Source organism: Homo sapiens, chromosome 8, assembly GCF_000001405.40.
Source record: "Homo sapiens chromosome 8, GRCh38.p14 Primary Assembly".
Lineage (NCBI taxonomy): Eukaryota > Metazoa > Chordata > Mammalia > Primates > Hominidae > Homo > Homo sapiens.
In genome coordinates, this window is record NC_000008.11 from 143,790,925 (window position 1) to 143,812,147 (window position 21,223).

At 62.4% G+C, this 21,223-nt stretch overlaps 1 protein-coding gene across 2 annotated transcripts in view; it reads right to left on the reverse strand.

Moving 5' to 3' along the window:
• Positions 1-21,223, reverse strand: part of SCRIB (scribble planar cell polarity protein) — a 24,849-nt gene continuing 3,626 nt past the window's right edge. Inside the window, exons 10-37 of one of the 2 annotated variants that reach the window (NM_182706.5) lie at positions 20,222-20,421; positions 19,982-20,148; positions 19,762-19,892; positions 19,555-19,680; positions 18,627-18,794; positions 17,685-18,101; positions 16,628-16,690; positions 16,000-16,089; positions 15,483-15,560; positions 14,188-14,511; positions 14,010-14,090; positions 13,644-13,901; positions 13,122-13,232; positions 12,723-13,016; positions 12,459-12,647; positions 4,496-4,606; positions 4,353-4,409; positions 4,114-4,188; positions 2,976-3,038; positions 2,052-2,159; positions 1,784-1,943; positions 1,561-1,711; positions 1,296-1,481; positions 1,067-1,209; positions 952-989; positions 742-816; positions 465-516; positions 1-384 (exon numbers count right to left, since the gene is read on the reverse strand). In NM_182706.5, the coding sequence (NP_874365.3) occupies positions 239-384; positions 465-516; positions 742-816; positions 952-989; positions 1,067-1,209; positions 1,296-1,481; positions 1,561-1,711; positions 1,784-1,943; positions 2,052-2,159; positions 2,976-3,038; positions 4,114-4,188; positions 4,353-4,409; positions 4,496-4,606; positions 12,459-12,647; positions 12,723-13,016; positions 13,122-13,232; positions 13,644-13,901; positions 14,010-14,090; positions 14,188-14,511; positions 15,483-15,560; positions 16,000-16,089; positions 16,628-16,690; positions 17,685-18,101; positions 18,627-18,794; positions 19,555-19,680; positions 19,762-19,892; positions 19,982-20,148; positions 20,222-20,421 (4,062 nt within the window). In that variant the 3' untranslated portion in view covers positions 1-238. The remainder of the gene's footprint in view (positions 385-464; positions 517-741; positions 817-951; positions 990-1,066; positions 1,210-1,295; positions 1,482-1,560; positions 1,712-1,783; positions 1,944-2,051; positions 2,160-2,975; positions 3,039-4,113; positions 4,189-4,352; positions 4,410-4,495; positions 4,607-12,458; positions 12,648-12,722; positions 13,017-13,121; positions 13,233-13,643; positions 13,902-14,009; positions 14,091-14,187; positions 14,512-15,482; positions 15,561-15,999; positions 16,090-16,627; positions 16,691-17,684; positions 18,102-18,626; positions 18,795-19,554; positions 19,681-19,761; positions 19,893-19,981; positions 20,149-20,221; positions 20,422-21,223) is intronic. The other variant, NM_015356.5, reaches the window with a different exon arrangement.

Here is a 21,223-nt window from a genome sequence, read left to right on the forward strand (position 1 = left end):
TAAAATGTAGTCAACTTTATTCTCCTTAAACCACAAAATAGAGTCTTTGGTTGTACAAACATCACTAGTTACAGTCTCGCCGAGGTCTCGGCTGGGGTGGGGCAGTTAGTTAGTCACAGGCCAGAACTCCTGTGGGGTCTCTTTAAAATGCTAACACCCAGGTTAAAAGACTTGGGGCAAGGGTGGTGCTGGAGCTGGCAGGGCCCCCACCCCAAGTCTGGGGGAGGTGCCTGCTCCTCTAGGAGGGCACAGGGCCCAGGCCACGGCGCCCAGGCCTTACGGGGCGGCGGCTGCTGCACAGTGCCACATCTTCAGGGCCCACAGCGCCGGGTGAGGGCCTGCCCAGAAGCACCAGAGCCACTTCTCCATCCTCCTCCTGCGGGCCTGGAGGGCAGGGACAGGTGGGCAGTGAGCTGAGGGCAGCTGGGCTCCTGGGAGCTCACCCCAGCCCGGCCCCAACTCACCAGGGCTGGGAGATGGTTCCAGGGACCTCAACTCCTCAGCAAAGTCCGGTGACTGTGATGGGGAGAGTGTTGGTCAGGCCGGTGCCAGCCCTGCCCCAAACCACCCAGGTGGACGGGTGGGCTCCCAGCCCTGAGGCCCACAGAGCCCGGCTGAAGGGGGAGGGGGGGTGAAGAGGCAGGGCCACGGCAGAGCGTGGGGAGGCCCTGCGGGAGCGGATGGGGGCGGTGGCAGGCACGGACAGGGTGGCAGGCATGCAGAGGCCTGGAGGCCAGGTACCTGGATGTCATAGACAGGTCTGGAAGAAGGCAGGGCCGCAAAGGCCCTGTAGTCAAACTTCTTTCCAGACAAGGGCTTGAAAGGACAGCGTGAGGGGAGAGGCAGAGAGTGAGAGGAAAGGGGGGGATGAGGGCCACGGGGGTGGGGGCAGGCCAGACCCCACCCCCATGCCTCGGGGGTGAAGGGAAGGCATAGCCACCGGCTCCTCACCAGGCGTCCCGGGGAGGTGCTGGTCTGGGGGCCGAGGTCTGGGGGGACAAGAAGCGGGCATTGGAAGCAGCCCATGCGGCAGGCTGACCCCCCCGACCTGCCCTGACCCACAGACCTTCCACAGGGGTGGGCGACGGGGTGGGCGCAGGGGAAGGGGCCTCGGCCAGTCGCTCCAGGGGCCCCCGCGTGCCCCGGCCTTCCTGGGACCTGCTGAGGACCATCTGTGCTCGGAGAGCGTCCTGTTCCAATGACTTCATCCTGCAGAGAACAGCGGGCAGGGGTGACTTGGGGCAGGAGCAGGGACAGGCAGCAGGGCGGGGTGGCGACCCCACACAGGGGCTCACCTGGCTGCCCTCCACAGCGCACGCTTCTCGGCCTCCAGGGCCCGGAGCTCGGCAGGGGACAGGGCACGCTCGGGTGCCGGTGGCTCCGGACTCTGCACGCGCAGCCGCTCCTGGTGGCGCCGTTCAGCTTTGGCCGTCCGCACCGGGGCGCCACCTCCCAGGGGTGGGGGGGACGCCGGGCTCTGCCTGGGGAAGGGACAGGACGTGCTGTGGGGGGCAGGGGCACGTGGGGTGAGTAGGGGGCGTCTGGTGGGCGGGTGCTCACCTTGAGGTGGGGCTCGGGCTGGCCCAGGGTGGCTGCTCATCCTCCTGTTCCTCCTCGCCCAGCGTCTCCCCGTCCAGGGCGAGCCTCGCTTCGGCCCCAGCCTCTGCCGCCTCCCGCAGCATCTGCGCTCTCTTCTGCTGTAGTTTTCTGGCTGCCGGAGGGCAGGGTGGGTCAGGCCAGACCAGCCGAGACCCAACCCCCACCCCACTTCCGTGCCCCTCACCTTCCTCCTCCTGCATCTTCCGCAGGTCGTCAGCACCCACCAGGGACACGCGCTTAGGGGGGCCCTCGGCCTGGGGCACGCGCACCTCCAGCTCAAAGTACTTCTGCCGCTCCCGGAAGGACAGCTGCTCCGGGGAGGCTGCAGGCCCAGGCGTGGGGGGCTGGGGGGAGCGGACCTTGAGGTTTGGCTGGCATTCCTCCGAGATACTGGGGCCCCCGGGCACCCACCCCAACCACGCGCAGCAGGGAGGCGTGCTGCCCCCACACACCTGGGCAGGGGCATCCTCAGGCGGGTGAGAAGTGGGCACGGCCGCGAAGGCCCTGTAGGCCTGCTTCACATTGGCGGGCAGCTCATCCGGAGAAGGCGGGGAGGGCGGCTGGGGGGTGGGGCTCTTGTGAGCTATGCTGGGGCAGCTGTCGGGGCTGCAGCTGTGTGCAACTCACCACCGGCTGTCCCCCCGCCTGTCCCCCCGCCTGCCTTTGATCCCCACCCACCATCCTGCTGGGGAAGGAGGCTCTGCCACCCCCACCCACGGGACAGAGCACTCACGGAGTGGGGACAACCTCTGCCCCTGGGGGCTGGGGAGCCCCTTGGCCAGGCCTGAGCCAATGGCTGGATCACCCCTGGTTTTGTCTAAAAAAGGCAGGTGGGGGCGGCGGGGGCAGAGGAGAGCAGGATCAGGGGTTTAAGGCAAGGGACGGGGGTAGAGAGGGGGGTGGGAGAGACAGAGAGAGAGAGACCGACCAACCTGGGTGGGGCTGACATCTTGCCTGTGAGGGGCTGAGCTGGGGCTGGGTCTCATGGGGGCTGCCACCTCCACCCCCACGTGGCAGTGTGTTGGGAGGTGCCAACAGTGGGGGGGCAAGGACCCCCAGACAAAAGGCAGGCAGGGATAAGGTGGGCCCTGGGAGGTGTTGGGCCTGAGACACTGACTGGGGTCTCAGGAGCTTGAGCCCCTCCAGGAACAGCACACTCAGGCCCCCCACCCCATCGCCAGGCAGCTCTGGCCAGGAAAGCGTCCCTGGCCTTCCTCACACAGGAGGCCCCATGGTAGCAGAGGGAAAACCGGAGTCAACAGCACCCCACGATGGCCCCTGACCCCCCATCCCTGGAGGAGGGGCCCTGTGCACAGCGGCCATCTGCCCTGCCCTCCACCCACCATGGGGCACACCCGTTAACTTGGGACACTCACCTGCTGGCCACTAGGGGAGCAGGGAGATTCAGCCATCTTCCCTCCAGCTGCTCCAGACGGTACCTGGAGGAGTAGGCAGTGGGTGGGGTGAGGATGGGCAGGGCTGTGGCCCCCGACCAGGAGGGACTGGGGGCCCTGGGGCTTGCCTAAAAGCCACAGCAGCTCTTCAGTTCCCCAACCTGACTATAGCCCAGGGGATGCCCCAGACACTCGGTCAGCACGGAGGGGCTCGTCCCCGTTCCCACAGGATGCGGGGGCCTGGGCTGGGCAGCTGCTGTCTCCATGGCAGTGTGCTGGCTGGAGCTTTGCAGGAGAGATGGGAGCAGACAGGACAGCCGGAGAAGAGAGCAGGGAGGGCTCGGGGGAGGGGCCAGAGACAGAGGTGATGGTGGGGAGCCCCTACTTGTGGTGTGCAGCCCTCAGGGCTCAGTGGCGCCCTGACTGCTGCCCCCATGACTGTGCTGTTGTTCATGAGGATGAAGGGCCTCCCGGAAGCCTCCCTCTTGGCGCTGCCCATGGCCAGAGGAGGCAGGGTCAGTACCCAAGAGCCCCCGAATGCGCTGCCTCAGATCCAGGCCCTGCCTGGCCCCTCACCACCACCCCACCGCTTGGGCAAGGGCCTGCAGGAGCCACCCCTCGGCACTCACGTTCGGTGGGGCTGGTGGGGCGCACCCTCTGGGAGGGTTATTTGTATCTCTAAGGGGAGGGATGGGCCTGCACATCCTCCTGCCTGTCCCCAGCACCCGCCCCTCCAGCTGCTCCAGCCTGTCCTCCCCTTGGGGACATGTGCCTGCCCAATCCCCCAGGAGCCTCTGCCCCCACTCGCACCCTCTGGGGCTGGGCAGCCCCAGCAGCAGCAGGTGAAGCTCTCGCACCGCCACTAGAGGGATGCCTCGGCCTGTGTCACCCATCCGCAGCTCAGGGTGTGTGGGTGGGGCAGCACCAACATGGCTTGGGTTGAGAATGAGGGTGATAAGCATGTGCCAGGCTGGGGTAGCCTGCAGGTCAGACGTGGCCTCCTCCCACCCCAGCCCCCGCCCAAAGGTTCCCTCCCGGATGGCCCTGGCGTTTGTCCTGGGGTGGCCGATGAACAGGACAACAGGACGGAGGTGGGGGGCACTGCACACTGGGCACTCACCCTCTGCACGCTGCCAGCGCTGGGCACGGCGGCCAGGGCGCGGTAGTCCAGCTTCAGGGGCTGCAGACCCCGACCCTGGGGGCAGAGTGAACACAGCACTAGCAGGGGTAGCTCCGTGGCAGCACCCGGCCAGCACAGGGCAGGAGAGGGGGTCCTGGGGGTTACTACCCAGCACCCCACAGGCAATGTGCACCCCGCTCCAGTGCCCTGATGTGAGGGGGTGGGGCGACCACACTCACTGCGGCTTCTGTGGCCTCGGGCCCCCAGTGCAGGGTCTGTCCAGGCAGCTCCTTCTCCTGTGAGCAGAGCAGAGCAGACCCGTCAGGCACCACCGGCCTCGGGCTCCCTGGCCCTGGGGCTGCCGGCTGCAGGCACCTCTGACCTTGCCTGGGCCCTCAGGGCTCAGCTCCCGGTCGATGGAAGAGATGCTCTCCAGGCTGTTCCGGTGGCCGATGCCTGCCGCAAAGGGGTTGGCAATGACACCTGGGGACACCTGAGAAGAGGGGTGTGGGCTAAGAAGGGGGGACTGCAACCCGGGGTCCCACCTCTGGGGCAGGCTGGGGTCCCAGCCCAGAATAGTCAGCAACGGTGAGCCCAGGAGCCGCGTCCCTGGGCAGGGCTGACCGCGTGGCTGGGGCAGCCTTGGAGGGCACTCCGCTGGGCCCCCCAGGACGCTGCAGCACTGTCCCCGGCCGGTCCCCATCACAGCTCACAGGGCTGCCGTGGACGTGGTCACGTCTGCACTAGGCAAGACTGTGAAGTAGCATGATGCCTGCCACTCTGCTGACTGTGTAAAGTCATCCCCAGGAAGAGCTGACAGCCACCAAGATGGGGGAAGGAGGGGCGTGAGTAGCAGGCACTGGAACTGATGGGGCAGAACGGCCCCCTCGGGTGGAAAGGCTGGCTCCAGACCCCAGTGTGAGTGCTGGGCAGGGATTCTGAAACAAGGGACACCATGCAGGAGGCCCGGCCAGCTCTGCACTCCCCAGAGCTCAATCACCTGTCCCAAGCCAGAGACTGGCAGGGCGGAGGGGGCGTCTAGAAAGGAAAGGCACTCAGATAGCTCAGGCAGGGCAGAGGGGGGCGAGGAGACAGGGCCAGGACAGGCAGGGGCTTCTGGTTGGGCACAAGATGTACTTGAATCCCGAGCCTGGGGTTAACACGGGCAGAGGGAACCATGGGAAGAGCTGACTTCCAAGCCTGCGGCGGGCAACGGGACTGCTTCAAACCTCCACCCCCAGCAGCAGCCAGAAGCAGCGGAGGAGGCAGCACAGTGGACACAGGCATTGCTCACCGCCCTCATCACAGACGGGGTCCCTGCAAAATCGAGGAGCTCTCAGTGTGGCCTCAGGGACAAACCCAGCCCTGTACTGTTGGTTAAAAACACAGCTGAAATGGTAAGTAAGGGGCAGGCAAAGAGATGCCAGGCAAACACACGGGAGGCACAGGGAGGGGCTGCTCAGGCCGGGGGAGAAAGGGTGTGAGTTCAGAGCTGTCGAGCAGGCAGACGGATGCCGTCACCACAGAAGATGCTGTTTACAACGATGATACAGTCATCAACTGTAAGCGCTCAACAAGGAAGCAGCTAAACACAGAAAGCAAAGACTAGAAACGCGAGTGTCGTAAAAGCACAGTTACACAGGCAGACTTAGCTACGTCTCTTTCAGACTCACAGGACTAGCGGGACAAACAACAAACAAGGTGCCTGTCTTCTCAGTTTCTGAAATAACAAGTCAAAAAGCCACTGGGCAGGTCCAAGAGAGGCAGGGGTCCTGGCAGAGTGGGAAGCAAGGTCCCAGGTAGCCCGGCCTCTCATGTCAGAGAGAGCTGTTCAAACACAGAAAAGGCAGACCCGGGTGCTGACTCCGACAGCCACTAGGAGCTCACCCTCTTCTACTGTTCCAAGAATAACCTTGGGAATGACCGGCATACCCTCCAGCTCTGGCCCCCAGGAGGTCCCGAGATGACACCCCAAGAACGCTGGGTCCAGGGCCAGACCACAGCTTCTAAATGTCACTCTCCACTAAAAGGATCCAGCGCTCCTGAGAGAAAGGGGCAACTCCAGGGCTGGGCAGGGTATGGAGAGAAGCCCAGCACATCCTGGAGGCAGAAGGTGAGGGGCTGCTGAGAGAGGGGAGGTCGTGTCAGAATGCCTCAGGTCCTCAAGCCCCTTCCGTGGGCCAAGGCTGGGACAATTTGAGCCTCAAAATAAATTACGATGGTAAAAGGCTGTCGCCCATGAAATAAAATGGAAGCTCACTTGTTAATGAAATGGACTCCCTTGTGAGCCCACGTGAACAGGTAAGCAGACACACATAAACTGGGAGAAGGGAAGGCTCGGTGGCAGGAAGCTGCCTGATGAGTATGGCAGTGGTGGGTCAGGAATGTCGCCAACCACCTCGGGGCCCGCTCAGAACCATCAAGGTGCTGAGGCTCACAGGCGAAGCTGGATGAGAAACAGCCTATTATATGCTCTCAAAGCACCTTCCTCACTTGCTGATTTCAAGGGGCAGGAGTAACTGCAGGGGGAAACCTGGCTGACCCCACGGTTCAGAGCATCACCAGTGAGCCCTGGTGGTAGGCACACAGACACGTGGTAGCTCCATGATAATCCCGGCCAAGATGCACACGCTGAAGCCTGTGAGGACATCAGACCCAGCGTGGGGGCAGTCACTGCAGGCAGGGCCTACGCCCAGCAGAAGCGTCAAGGTCAGAGAAATCAGCAAAGACAGAGGCACGCTCCGACCGAAGGAGACTAGAGGGATGCGGTGGCCAAGCCCCACAGGGATCGGGCCGCGCCCTTCCACGACGGAGCACGTCCCCGGCGCAGTGGGTGAGCCATGAATAGGGCTGAGTGTCAGAGGTTCTTTGTCCTGTTTTTGCAACTTTTCTCTAAGTTTAAAATTCATTTATGTATGTGCTTACATTTTTCAAAGAGAAACAAATGGCAGAATAAACCAAAACTAATAAAGATGGTAGTCTGGGAGCAGAGAGATGGAGGCCGGTCTTCTGAAATGATTCTATATAACTTCAACTTTGGAACCACGTGAAGATTTACACAATTAAGAAACAGATTTTTTCGGTGGCAGACGCCTGTAATCCCAGCTACTCGGGAGGCTGAGGCAGGAGAATCGCTTGAACCCGGGAGGTGGAGGTTGCAATGAGCTGAGATCGTGCCACTGCACTTCAGCTTGGGAAACAGAGTGAGACTCCGTCTCAAAAAAAAAACAAAAAACAGATTTTTAAAAAGTTACCCTAAAAGCTAAAATGAGTCAGCCCAACTGTGTTATCAGCTTGGTAGCAAAACCACAGAATGATCTCAAGTGGCTGAGAACACAGGATGCGGACTGTACGTCCCAGGCAGGGTGAACCCTCAGGAAGCAGCCGCCAGAACTCGGCCCCTCTCCACGCTCCTGCTCTCAGTTGTACCAGTGGTGTCACTGTTTTTGTTTTTTAGAGTCTGTCTTGCTCAGGCTGGACTCAAATTCCTGGGCTCGAGCGATCCTCCTGTTTCAGCCTCCTGAATACCTGCGACTACAGGCCATGTGCCACCACACTCAGTTAATTTTGAAATTAAGGAATTAAGGAAAGATTTTATGAGAAAAAGTATAAAATTACAAAAGTTAGTAAAAACCCTACAATCTTAAATGAGTTAAATGTAACAGTACAAACTCAGGATTTGTTCTCTTTCTGAAAACATCCACCTCTCAGCCTCCATCTGCTGCAGAGGCCACAGAGCAGCAAAGGCAGTGCCTGAGTCCTGAGCACGCCTGGCCCATGGTTATAGGAGCCCCACACCCAGCTCCCACCGAGAGGGGCCAGGTCCCACACAAAAATGTTGGAATCCAGGGCCGGGGCAGGAAGTACAAAGAATGCCCTGTCAAAGCAGCTGGGGAATGATGGGGTCATGCCACAGGGATGCGGGGTCTCGCTGCCTGATCAAGGGACATCAAGGGAACGCTGTGTTGAAACCCATCAGGAAAATAAAGACTCATAAGTTCACGAAAACCCTAAAAACAGAAAGACACCTCAGGAACCACCTTTGGAAGATTCCAGGGCCCCAGCCTGTTATTCTAAAAACTAACAAATGGAAGAACCAAGCATTTCATCTTCCTAGGTCTTTCCTGCAGGAGCTCACATCAGGACAGAAACAGAGCTAGTGATCTCTTCTTTACAGACATATCTACAGAAAAGTTAACAGCCAGAGATGCAGAGGGAAAGACTGAAGGATTCTTCCTGAGAGCGTAAATCGAGGAAATGCCAAAAGAAAGGGCAGTCTCTTCTGAAGTTTAATTTTTAATGGTGATGATGACAAGGGAGAGGTGGTCCTGACCAGTAGTCAGAAGCTGGCTCTGACAAGCCCATCAACACACAGGACCCTGGTCAGCGTGACCAGGAGGAAGAGGATGCGGACAGCAGGGCCGAGGGGGAGGTGGCCGCAGAGGAGGGGCCCAGTGGGAGAGGACTTGCGTCCTCATGCCAAACACGCGGGGTAGCGGGCGAGTCTCTCAGACAGCGCACACCCACCTAGGTTTGCGCAGGGGTCGGCGCCGACCATGGCGAGGCAGGTCGTTACTGAATCAATCCTCTCGACCCCGAGAAGCAGGCACTGCGGGTGACCCATTGTACAGACGAGGAGACTGAGGAGTAAAGTCAAGGCCCGACAGCAAGTGAGGGCCAGGCTTAGATGGACTGTGCACGACCCCTAAAAATGCACCAGTCCTAGAAAGCAGGAGACGTAGGCTCTGACAGACAGACGTGGGCCGTAGAAAGCAGGAGACGTAGGCTCTGACAGACAAACACGGGCCACTGCTCCAGAGTGCTAGGGACATGCAGGCAGCTCCTGAGCCAATGCCAAGATGGGCTCGCACAGTGAGAAGAAAGTTACAGAACCCAGTGGGCAAACCGATGCCCACAGGGCCAGGCAGACAGACACAGATGAGTCCAGTGGCCTGAGTTTCAGAAAAATGGGGAAGGGTCATGAATTGAAGCCCCCCCCCCACCCCACCCATGCTCTGGAGTCAGAAACACAGATGGACCTGTGGGAGCACCGGCCTGGCCGTGCCACGTCCTCTGAGCTTTCTGTGAGAAGCCAGGAAGCCAGACATGGCGTGGACTCCTGATGTGTGAGACCCCAGCTCCTCTCTCTCAAGCCCCAAGCCCGCTGATGAAACCTCCATGGGCTGAACCAACCCTACTTAGCAGATAAGAGGACTTCAGAAAACTCAACACCCGCTTCAGATAACAATTCTTACAGGTTATAAATAGAAACAGCCCCCCCTCCATTTAAAAAATGTTGTAAGAGAGTCTACAGCAAACGTCACAGTACAAGATGAAAGTCCCTCAGAGCTGAGCACAAGACAAGCCCACCTCCACAGGACCAGGGGCTCTGCGGGAGGGGACAAGGGAGAGGCCCGAAGGGGGAAGGGCGGCCAGGCTTCTGCCAGGGGGTGAAGCAGATTTACAAATCCAGGTGAGGATTTATAAGAATTACTAGGAAAGCAAGAGCCACCGGGGGACACCCTAGAGAAAAGCTCGACATAAAGATAACCCCAAGGCTGGGCGCAGGGCTCACGCCTGGAAGCCTAGCACTTTGAGAGGCCAAGGCAGGCAGGTCACTTGAGCCCAGGAGCTGAAGACCAGCCTAGGTAACATGACAAAACCCCGTTTCTACAGAAAACTTTAAAACAATGAGCCGGGTGTGGTGGCGCAGCTGTAGTCCCAGCTACTCGGGAGGCTGAGGTGGGAGGATCGCTTGAGCCCGGCAGGGCGAGCCTGCGGCGTGCAGCGACTGTGCCGCTACTCCAGCCTGGGCGACAGAGCGAGACCCTTTCTCAAAATATGTACATACATACACGTACGTGAAATCCCAGAATTCCAGTCGGTTTCTGCACAGAACTTGGCAGGTTCATTCGTAAGAGAAAACACATTGACAATAGAAACTTTTCAAGACAAGAAAAAGGAGTGGGTGACTTTGCCCATTAGGATTAGGCATGAAACCTGCTACAAAGTGAGGGATTTAAATGCGTGGCATTGGCCCAGAAGTAGCTCACAACTCACTGGGACCAAGTCCAGAAACAGGGCTTGGAGCCTACAGGAACTGAACACAATGAGGCCACATTTCCCCCAAATCACTGGGGAAGCGACAGACTGTTCAGTCAGTACTGTGGGGACAGCTATGCATCCAGTTACTTGCAAAGCAGTTCCAGGGCTGGGCATGGGGACATGGCTTGAGCGCAGGAGGCGGAGGCTGCAGTGAGCTGTGATTGTGTCACCACACTCCAGCCTAGGCGACAAGCGAGACCTCATCAAAGCAATTCCAGGTGGACCATGGAGCTATGTGTTGTTTAAACTTCCAGAAATACTAGAAGAAAACATGACAATGTTTTTGTAATCTTGCAGTAGGGAAGATCTTCCCAAGGAAAAAACCAGAATCCAGAAGTCATAAAGAACCCAGAAGACTTAATTTAAAAATTTTGATTTTTGTAACTCAAAAGATCCCATTTTTTTAAAGGAAAAGATAAGCAACCGCTGCAGAAAAACACACCTGTACCCACAGAACAAAGATGAGCAACCAGGCTGCTGGACGGAAGCCAGGGTGACAACGGAGAGCAAGGGCAGTGCTGGGGCGGACAGCGAGCCCCCGGGAAGACGGAAGGACATGGGAAAGAGGTAGCAGTGACGGGGAAGGGGAGCTGGATGGCAGCTCTCAGCCCCACTGCTCGGGACCCCTGGCTTGCCCGACGCGGCAGAAATGGTATCTGCCCCCAACACCAGGGAGGGTGTGGAGGTGGCTCTGTCCGTGGCTGGCCAGAGTGTGAGGTCTGAGACCCCTGCCCCTCCTATACCGACATGTCACGGCAGGCTCGTGGGGGACCCGGCCAGATGCAAGGACAACCTGTGGCCGACAGCAGCGCGGCACGCCGGCTGCAGACATGGCACTAGCCCTGCCTTCTGCATACCTAGCTCTTCCCTGAGGGAGCTCGCTCCCTCTCTAATAAAAACTTCACGAGTAAATATATCGAATGAAACGTGTTTAGATACACATTTAAAATAATAAAAGGCAAGGCCCTCTCTGAGAACCAGATGGTCCAGAGCTCGAGTCCTCAGATAAATCCTTCCCCAGAAACCACCAGGACTCCCTCAAGGACAGGAGGGGACCCGGTGGGTGAGGGCTGGCCCGGGGCCAACCCCAAGCTCAACGTCCAGCTGTGGAGCAAAAACAACGAATGCAGACCCACTTCCCGCCAAGGGGCCCCCACGCTGGCTGTGGGTCAGGACACTCTGTGACTGTCAGCCTGGCAGAAAGCCACCATCCCAGAGATCCCTTGCAGGACAGAACCAATGTGAGGGGCCGCCGCATCCCAGAGGCTGTTACAGAGAGGAAGCCATCTGTGTGCCGGTGGGGAGTGGTGACAGCCACCTGCCCCCTGTGGACCTGTGTGACCAGCAGGGACACCCTCTGGGAGGAGCAGATGGCCCCTCCAGGTGAAGGCCCAGGCATCCACCCAGCTTCAGCCATGGGCGCTGGCCCTCCCGGGACCCACCCTCTTGTGGCCCTGCAGGCCACTCCAGTGGGAAGCCAGCCTGCACACCCTGGCGCCAGTGAAGAACCCCTGGAAACTGCTGAGGCCTGCTGCAGGGCCCCTGGGATGGCATGGGGAAGAAGACGGAAGGGAGATGGGAGCCCCCTGAGACAGGCCAGGCTTGTCCAGGATCCAGGCCGTGCTGGTGGGGAGGACTCCTGGGGCCCCACCTCGCATCCCAACTCCCCGTCTGGGCTTCTGCTCTGGAGTCCAGGAAGGGACGGACCAGCAGTTGGGCAGGAGATCTTGGGTAGGGAGTTCTCTGTTGAGGGGTCACCAGAGGGGCTCCCTGGAGTCATGGCCCAGGGATGGGCTGAGAGGAGCAAGGTGCCACTAGGCACAGGAGCGGGGACCCTCAGCATCCCAAGGCGTCTGCCTGGCTGGTGGGCTTTGGGCAGGGCTTGGAGTCATCCCTTAGCAGCCTGATGGGACTCTGCAGGAGTCACCAGTGCTCAGCTTCTTTTAGGACCAGACCACGTAGTGCGTCCCAAACACACGCCCCTCCCACCATCCGTTCACGTGCCTCGTCCTACTTGGACTGGGCCTCTGGACAGCTCGATGAGCCGGAGCTCAGCAGAAAGGGAAGGCAGGGCCCTCCGCCCACAGCTCCCCAGCCCGCACGGCTGATGCAGAGCCGCAGAGCACCGCCCAGACCCAGAGGCACAGGGGACCCGTCGCCTGCCCCGAGAGGTGTCAGCGGCTCACAACACCTTGGGCTGGGCCAGAGGGAGGCCCGGTCCCCGGGGCGGGATCGCTAACCTCCAGGGCTGCGTCGGTGCTGGCCTCAAAGCCGTCACAGACCAGCACGGTGAGGGTGTCGCCCACACTGCGGAGCAGCTGCACCGCCTCGCCGTGCGTCAGGCCCAGCAGGCTCTGCTGGTTCACCTCCAACAGCCGCAAACCCACACGCAGCCGACCGTCGCGCCCGGCTGCCCCCGTGGGGCTCACCTGTGGGGAGACGTGGTATGGGAGAGACCTGTTGGGGGGTGGGGCCCAGGGCGGGCTGGGGTGGGGGGGGCTCACCTTGGAGATGAAGATGCCCTCGTCTGTGGGGTCGCGGGGGTTGCCAGCGTGGCCCCTGGCACCCCCGCGGATGCTGATGCCCAGCCTCTCCCCAGGTGCCTTCTGGATGCACAGTTCCCGTAGGCCCGGGGGTGCCGGGTCCCTCCGCACCAGCAGCGACAGCTCCAGGCAGGGCCGGAGCAGGGCACTGACTGCTTCTTGGTGCGTGGCATCCCGCACGTCTTGCCCGTTCACTGCCAGGATGCGGTCCCCAACCCGCAGGCCGCTGCGAGCGGCCAGGCCCCGCGGGAGCACCTGTCAGGGAGGAGGGTGGCAGCTGGTGGCTGAGGCCGCGCTGACCTGCGCTGGTACCTGGGATGGGTGCACCTCTCACAGAACCGCCTGGATGGGCCGCCCTACCTTGGAGATGAACACACCAGGCTCCTGGACACCAAACGGGTGGCTGGAATGGTCGGAGCCTCCGACAATACTAAGCCCCAGAGGGCCCCCAGCTCTTGGCAGACGGATCTCCTGGGGATTTAGGGCGGGACAAGGACAGGCCTCGGTCAGGACAGGGAAAGGGTGTGGGAGGGCTCCCAAGAGTCCGTCCCGGTCCTTGGGGATGGCGGGCGGGGGCTGCCCTAATGCCCACGGGGATTTCTGCGCCACCAGTGTTCTGCTGCCCAGGCAGGCACGCAGCGTGAGGACAATATCCTCGCTGACTGTGGCCATGTGGCCAGCCAGGAGACTGTGTCAAGGGGACCATACTGAGGAGTCTGGCTGTGGGGCAGAGCCCCAGCCTCAAGGAGCTGCAGGGGAAAGGGCGAGCAGGCCGGCTTCCCACCTGGAGTGGGCCGCAAGGCCATAAGAGAGCAGGTCCTGGGAAGGCCAGTGCCCACAGCTGAAGCTGGGTGGGTGCCTGGGTGGGGGCTTGTGTCTCACCTCCACTGGGTATGGCCCTTCCAACGCGGCAGCCAGCAGGCTGGGGGCCAGGCTCGGCAACCCAGGCACCCCGGGGGTGGCAGTGGTTATGCTGGTGGTGGCAACAGCAGCGGTGGGGGGTGAGGAATGTGGCAGAGGGCTGGGAGGAAGAGGGCCCCCAGCCTCCCGCTCCAACAGCAGGGCGATGGTGGGGGAGGCAGCGGTCAGCAGGGAGACGGCGTGGTCATGCCTGGCCTCAGTCACGTCCACTCCATTAATCTGTGAGAGCGTGCCCGAATCAGGGAGGCCCAAGGGCAGAAGGGGACAGAGGGCGCGGGGCGGGGCAGGGGGGATGGGTGGGTGGGGCGGGGCCCCATCCCCACTCACAGAGAGGACGCGGTCGCCAACCTGCAGTGTGCCCGCGCGGTGAGCAGCACCGCCCTCGGCAATGCGGGAGACGAAGATGCCCTGCAGGGGAGGGTGGAGGAGGCAGGGCTGCCGGTGAGGCTGGAGTGCGGCTGTCAGCTCTAGAGCAGCCCTCCCCGGCCCTGGGCCCCAGCCTCACCGCATCACCAGCCCTGTAGGGTGTGGAGCCTTTCCCACCAGCAATGCTGAAGCCCAGCCCCCTCTCGCTGCGTGCCAGGCAGGCCACGTGGCGCTGACGGAGGGGCCCGGGGCTCTCAGGCGGGAGCAGGGGCAGGCGCAGCCCCCCTCCCCGCCGCTCTCGGGGGCTGTAATCATCCTCGGGCCGCAGCGGCGTGATGGTGACCGCGTTCTCAGGCTCCACCATGCGCTCCCGCCACACTCGCATCTGCACGGCAGTGCCGGCCCCCCGGAGCGCCTCCACGGCCTCGTGGTGCTCGGCGCCCTGCAGAGCCACACCATTCACCTGCGGGCCAGGGACCACGTGCGTATTCAGGACCCAGTGCCGCCACAGACAGCCACGTGCTGGGGGCTCCACACGCTCCCTCCAGGATGGGGAGACTGAGGCACAGGGCGAGGGGAAAGGCCCCAGGCGCTGACATCACCCGAGACCTTTAGCCACAAGGTTCCTCGTGGGCACCGACCCCTCCCCTACCAGGTCCTCTGAAACCCGGTGTGGGAAGCCCTAGGGCCAGGACACACACTGGCCACGGGAGGCAAGCAGATGCCCCCACGGCCAGGCCACACATGGCCCCGCTCCTGGATACCTCCGGCCCATCTGCACAGCCCAACACACACCTAAGGTCGCTGGGTTACTGACCCACACCCCCACCCCAACACCCAGGAGCAGCAGTTCCCACGCAAAGGTCAGGAGAGCTGAGCAGCAGACGCAGCATATGAGCCCTGGGCAGACGCCTCCTGGCTGGGCTTCAGGGCCCTCACCTGCCCTCAGTGTGTCCCTACAAGAAGGGCGCATGCCTCTTCAGAGCCCCCGGATGCCCGTGCCCCGGCTGAACAGCTAGGTGTCCAGGTGGAGGCTCCAGGACTCCCATACAGGGTCCAAACCCCACCAGACCTGCCAGTAGCCTGACCCCTCTCGGTCAGCCCAGGAGCGGCCCCTCCTGGAGAGGCCACTGTGCCAGGTGCAGCTGCTGCCCTACCCACTGGTAGAAAAACACACCTGTACCCACAGAACAAAGATGAGCAATCAGGGCGCTGGATGGGAGCCAGGGTGACAACGGAAAGCCCAGGTGGCACTTGCCCAGGTGATTCTCTCCTGGGGTTTACAGGTTCCGTGGCTTCACCCGGAAGTCTGGGTGTCCTGTGCTTGGAACTCTTGGGGAGGCCGGGAGAAGGCAGCCAAGCACCCTAATACCAGGGACCATGTACCTCCAGAGGGCACAGCTGCCACTCGGGGCGGAGAGGTTGCCGACTCACCTCCAGGAGCTTGTCACCCACACGGACTCCAGCCCGGGCCGCAGGGCCTTCCTCGGACACCCGAGAGATGAATATGCCCTAGGGCACAGACACGAGCTTGGCAGGGGCCAGGGAGACGGGCCCGCATTCCTGCTCCTTCTGCAGAAGACCCAGGAGGGGAAGACCCACTCCCAGCAGCCCCTAGCCCTGGCCAGCAGGAGGACTGAGCTCTAGCCACTGTGGGATCCTGAGTGCCAGGGGGTTAGAAGGAGCACGTCAGCCCCGAGAAAGGGCTCGTGGCCCCAGGCCTGGTGCACAGGCAGCTGGTGAGAGAAGGAGGGCTGTGAAGGGAAGACAGACCCAGGCACCCTCAGGTTGCTCTTGGACTTCGGGATCCCACAACAGTAGGTGCCTTGGGCCCAGCCCGTGTCCCCAGAGCGTGTGAGTGTTCTCAGGGCAAGGGGCCTGTGTGCCATCAGTGTGAACTGTGGTGGGGCAGGCCAGTGGCAGCGGAAAGGCCCTCCTAGGCAGTGCTCACCTCGTCGTCCCCCTTATAGGGTGTGGAGCCCTTGCCGCCCGCAATGCTGATGCCCAGGCCCCCAGTCTGCCGCAGGATAGTGAGGGTCAGCTGGAAACAGAACAGACAGGGTGTCTAGAAGGGCCGCAGTGGGGCTGCCTGTGCTCTCTGCAGGAGACCCCACCAGCACGCAGATGCCATTTCTGGCTTTTCTCTAGGCAGCTGAATGGGGCCTCATGCCACTCACCAGCCAGGGCCAGCCCAGACGCCAGCTGGAGAAGCCCCAAGACCCCAGCAGGAGGGCACTGCTCTGCAGAGCGTGGTGGGCTGGGGCTTGCCCACCTCCAGGTGATGGTGGCCCGAGGCCCCCCTGCCACCCTCGAGTGAGGACTGCGCTGCCTCCGCAGGCAGGTAAGGCTCAGAGCACCACAGGCGGCTGATGGGAGCTGGACCAGCCTCTCCGCTCACCCCTGCCAAGACGGGCTGCCCCAGGCAGGAGGTGTCCTGATCCTGGAGCCCAGCTGGATCTGAGAGCTCTTTTGAGAGGGATCTGCGCTCAAGCAACAGGGGCGGGGAGAGGCGTGAGCCCACAGCCCGGGAAGCAAGGCCAGCAGCGGCCCGGCCAGAGTGCAGAGCGAGCAGTACAGACCTCTTCCTCCTCAATGCGAGCAGGCTCTATCAGCAGGTTATTGGCCTGGTCAAACGACACTCCCTGTTAGGACAGGACCAGTGAGGCATGCAGGTTAGCCACCGCCAAGACCACCACCACCGCCTCACCCAGCCCCCGCCACAAGCAGAAAGGACAGAGGAGACCACAGCAAGCTCCCTCGACTGCCCTGGCACGGGCGCCTCCATCCTGGAGGCGTGAGTGACACCACACACCTGGGGACAAGCGGGGCTCCAGAGCTGAGCAGAGTCCCACCGGGCTGTCCCTGCTGTGGCCCCTCCGGGCCCCCTCAGCTATCATGCCACTGGCCCACACTCAGGGTCAGAGTGTCATCAAGGGCAGGGATAGTGAGACCCGGGGACTCCCCCTGGAATCTGAGTTTGCCCAGAGAGCAGGTGAGACCCTTTGTGACCCATGGAGAGGAGACTTGAGGGCCAGGGAGGGACACACTGGTGCCCCGAAGGCCTGTGTGGCACCTCAGGAGGGCCCGACAAGGCAGAAAAGAGCCATCAGGGCCTCGGGCCTGCAGTGCCCAACACAAGAGAGGATCCCAGGAGAGCCCAGTGATCTTGGGAGAGGAACAGACCCTGCCCTGGGACCACGACACATGTAGACAGGCCCTGGAGACCCACAAAGAGTGGGCAGCCATGCTTGACTTCTGTGAACTCCGTGCCCGCCAGCAGGTCGGGCAAATACTGGCCAGCAGAGCTGCCTCTGGCACTGAGACCAACGCCAGGGCAGGCCTGGGGTCCAAGCATGGACTGAGACCAACGCCAGGGCAGGCCTGGGGTCCAAGCATGGACTGAGACCAACGCCAGGGCAGGCCTGGAGTCCAAGCATGGACTGAGACCAATGCCAGGGCAGGCCTGGGGTCTGGTGAGAGTGGCCGTGATGCCGACTGTGGAGCACACGTGTCCACCACCTTCTCCGGGTGGCCAGGGGCCAGTGGGTCAGGCCTCGGCCCTGCTCCTGCCGCAGCCCTGGGTGCCCAGGAGGGCCAGGGGAATCTGGGTCAGGCAGGGGTGAGGCTGACACCAACCTTGACAGAGGGCGCAGAAACCACGGCCCCCTCCTTGTCCTCCTCCTCAGTGCTGGCCTCTTCCTCTTCAGCCCTGTTTTCCTCCTCCTCCTCTTCCTCCTCCTCCTGAGGACTACCCTCTTCCTCCTCCTCCTCCTCCTTCTGGGCCCGAGGAGCCCAGGGTGCGTGGGGGCCATTGTGCCAGCCCCCGGGAGCCACAGGGCCCTCCCCATCAGGCTGCATGCCCTGCAGCAGAGCCACAACGGCCTCGGGCTGGGGCAGCTTGGAGATCTTGAAGTGCTTTTTGTAGTGAGGTGTGTCCTTGCGGATGAGCCGCTGCCTCCCGCCTGGCAGGGTCCAGGGGGCCTCAGGCTGCCCCTCCTCGATCTCCCTGTCATCCCCGGGCAGCAGTGCGTCCTCTGCGAAATGCACCGTGGGCTGTGCGGACAAAAGGGTGAGGGTGGCCCCAGCTCTGTGGCTGTGCTTCCACAGGAAGACCCTACTAAACAGTGTGGCCACAGACGGGCTCCGAAAGCCTCCCCGCCACACAAAGACTCAGCACTAACTGCCCAGTGAGGGGCGCGTGTCTCAGCCCTGAGAAAAGCTGAAGGCCAGGGGCTCATCCTGGAGACACGCAGCGCCCCAGGTGGAAACGAAGGGGTGCGCCAAGGCCTCACACCAGGGAGCCCACGGGGGTCAGAAGAGAGTCCAGGGTGGGGGTGGGCTCTGTGAGCCCAGCCGTCAGGGGAGACCTTAACCCCACCTAGGGAGGCAGCTCTCCAGGGCACCCCCAGCAGCACGGCCCTGCACCACCCGTAGCCACTCTGTACAGGGCAGCTCCCCGAAGCATCAGCAGGGCCCAGGCACTGCCTGCACCAAAACCGATCCCAGCTGAGGCCCCGCAGGGGAGGCAGCCCCCACCCAGCAGGCCCAGCCTCCTGCCTCCTTCCTGCCAATCCACACCTCCTGGTAGTCCTCTTCGGCGTCTTCCTCCCCGCCAGCAGTCGTGGCTTCCTGCTGGCTCCCACCCTGTGCCTCAGCCGACGGGCCCTCGGGCTCAGCCTCAGAGACTGTGCTGGCAGATGGGCGAGAGTCTTCACTCAGGCCAGACTCGGCACTCAGCCGCTTCTCCTGCGGCGGGAAGTGGGGTCAGGCTTCGACGGAGCTCCCGACTCACAGGCTGGCCACCTGGGATGCCCCCCACGTGGCAGGCCTTCCCTGAGCTTCCCGCTGCCCCGACCAGGCACCGTTAACGGGCTCACGCCCTCGCAGCTGCTCCCTGTCCCAGCCTGCAAGGAAGCCACACGCCTCCAAAGCCTAGGGTGGACAAAGCCACGGTTCCACAGCCCAGCCCCAAGGAAAGCCTTTCCTAAAACAAACAAGGACCACACAAGTTCCCAGGAAAATCCCAGCGTGATATGAACCTCCTCCCCTCCCATGCACGGCCCCACACACCCTACCCCAGCCCAGATCACTGGTTCTGCTGCACCCAAAAACCCACAGCACGCATGTCACAGCTCTGAGTGAGAACAGTCAGGCCTGCTCTGTCCCAGTCCCAAACCCCTTCCCAGGTGCCGATGACACCCACGGCAGTTCCACCAGAGACCCTACCCCACAACCAAACCCCATTCCCTGTGCTCCCAGGCACACCCACCACTGGTTCTCCCCATACTCCAGCCCCACAGACCCGCCCTGCACGACCCACACGTCCACCCTGGCACCCTTCACCCAGCTGGCCCTGCAGCTCCATGTCCCTGAAACCTGTCACCAGCCTCATCTCCTGCTCCTTCTCTGTGCTGCCCTGGCCCTCACAGCCCCACTCCCAGGATGGACCGGACCACCACAGCTCCCGGGTCAGCGGCCCGCCAGGTTGCCGTGGCTCCATGCCCACCTCCTCTGCAGGCAAGGGCGACCCAGAGTCTGGCTGGCAAGGGCAGGCCTCGCTCCGCCGCCCCTCGATGCTCCTCTTCATCACCTTGAGCTCGCTGGGGTGAGGTGTGGCCCGGCGCTGTAGGCCCTGTTGTAGGGACAAGGATGAGCAGCAGCCACAGGGCAGGGGTCAGGCAGAGGTTCGCCCCCCAGATCCTCACCCTCATACCCGCTTCTCAGCTGCAGCTTCCTCAGCGTCCTCATCACCTATGGGGGCCTCCAGGAACTGGATGACGCTGACGCGGCTCGGCGGGGCATCGCTCCAGGTCTCCGAGAGGCTCCCCTGCTGCCCAGCATCCTCTGCAGCAGGTGAGCGTCAGGACCCAGGCTAGTCCCCAAACCCTGCCTGAGAGCCACCCCGCGCTAAGCACCGGTTGCCAACAACCTACCGAGGCTGGGTGGGGGCTGCTGGGGCAGCAAGTAGCAGGTGAGCACCTTCTCGCCGGTCCGGGCATCATCCTCCGTCTGGAACCGGAGCATGGGCTGCGCCTGGTTCTCTGCCAGCCACAGGGCCTTGAGATTGAGGTGGGTGAGCGCGAACGGCAGACTCTGCAGGCTGCGGGCCGGGCGGGCACAGTCAGCAGGCGTTGGGGCCACGGTTAGGCCCGCAGGGCAAGGCTGGCACTCACCGGTTCCCCGCCACGTCCAGCACGTGCAGCTCTGTCGTGTGGGCCAGCTCTGGTGGCAGGACGGCCAGGCGGTTGTCCCTCAAGGAGAGGACGCTGAGTGCCACACAGCCCCCGATCTCGGGCGGCAGCGCCTCGAGGTGGTTCCGGTCCACGTTGAGGTTGGTCAGCTTAGTCAGCTTTCCCAGGGAGCGGGGCAGGGCCTGGCCAAGAAGAGGAGGTCAGAGGACGCTAGGGGCTTGCTGGGGGTGGGAAGGAGATGACAGCCCCTGGCAGGAGGGCACAGACACCCCAGGCCAGCTCCAGCCAGGGTCCCTCACAGCCCCTGGAGACCGGGACAAGGACCTGACCACAGAAGCTGTCTCCACCCCACTTCGTGCCCTCTGCTCCCCAAGCTCTGCCCACTGCCCTCAGCCTTCAGTCCCCACCACCAAAACACCCCACCAGGTCATCCCTGACCCTCTCCCATGGGTGCCCTGGACTGACCTGCGAGGCTGCGCCCTGTGAGCCTGTCTGGTGCCCCACTGGTCTGCCCTGTCATCCCTAGGGCTCCCCAGGCCCCCAGTTCCAGCCTGCCTGCTCAGGGCCAGCCCCTTCCCAGGGCCCTGAACCCCAGAGTCCCTTTCTCCATCTCCCCAGTGAGGAACCCCCCCGGAAACTCCCATGAACACCCTCCCCACAGCTAGCTCCTGTTTCCCAGCCTGGGGATGGGGATAGCAACACCACCGTCCCGAACCGTGGCCTGGTGCCTCAGCTTGCCCTGCTTTGTGAGGGGCAGGCAGACGCCCCTGGGGAGCAGCCTGCTCTCCATCTGTCTTCCCTACAGACAAATAAGTTCCCATTCCTGCCTCTTCTGTAACCGCTCCCCAGTGTTACAACATACAGCGATAAACACGAGACCTAGATTCTTCACGGTAAACGGCAAAGGCCCCTGCCCTGGCCTCACTGCCCCGCCTCACCTCCGGCCAGCATGCTCCCCCTCTGACAAGAGAAGAGCCCTTCCTG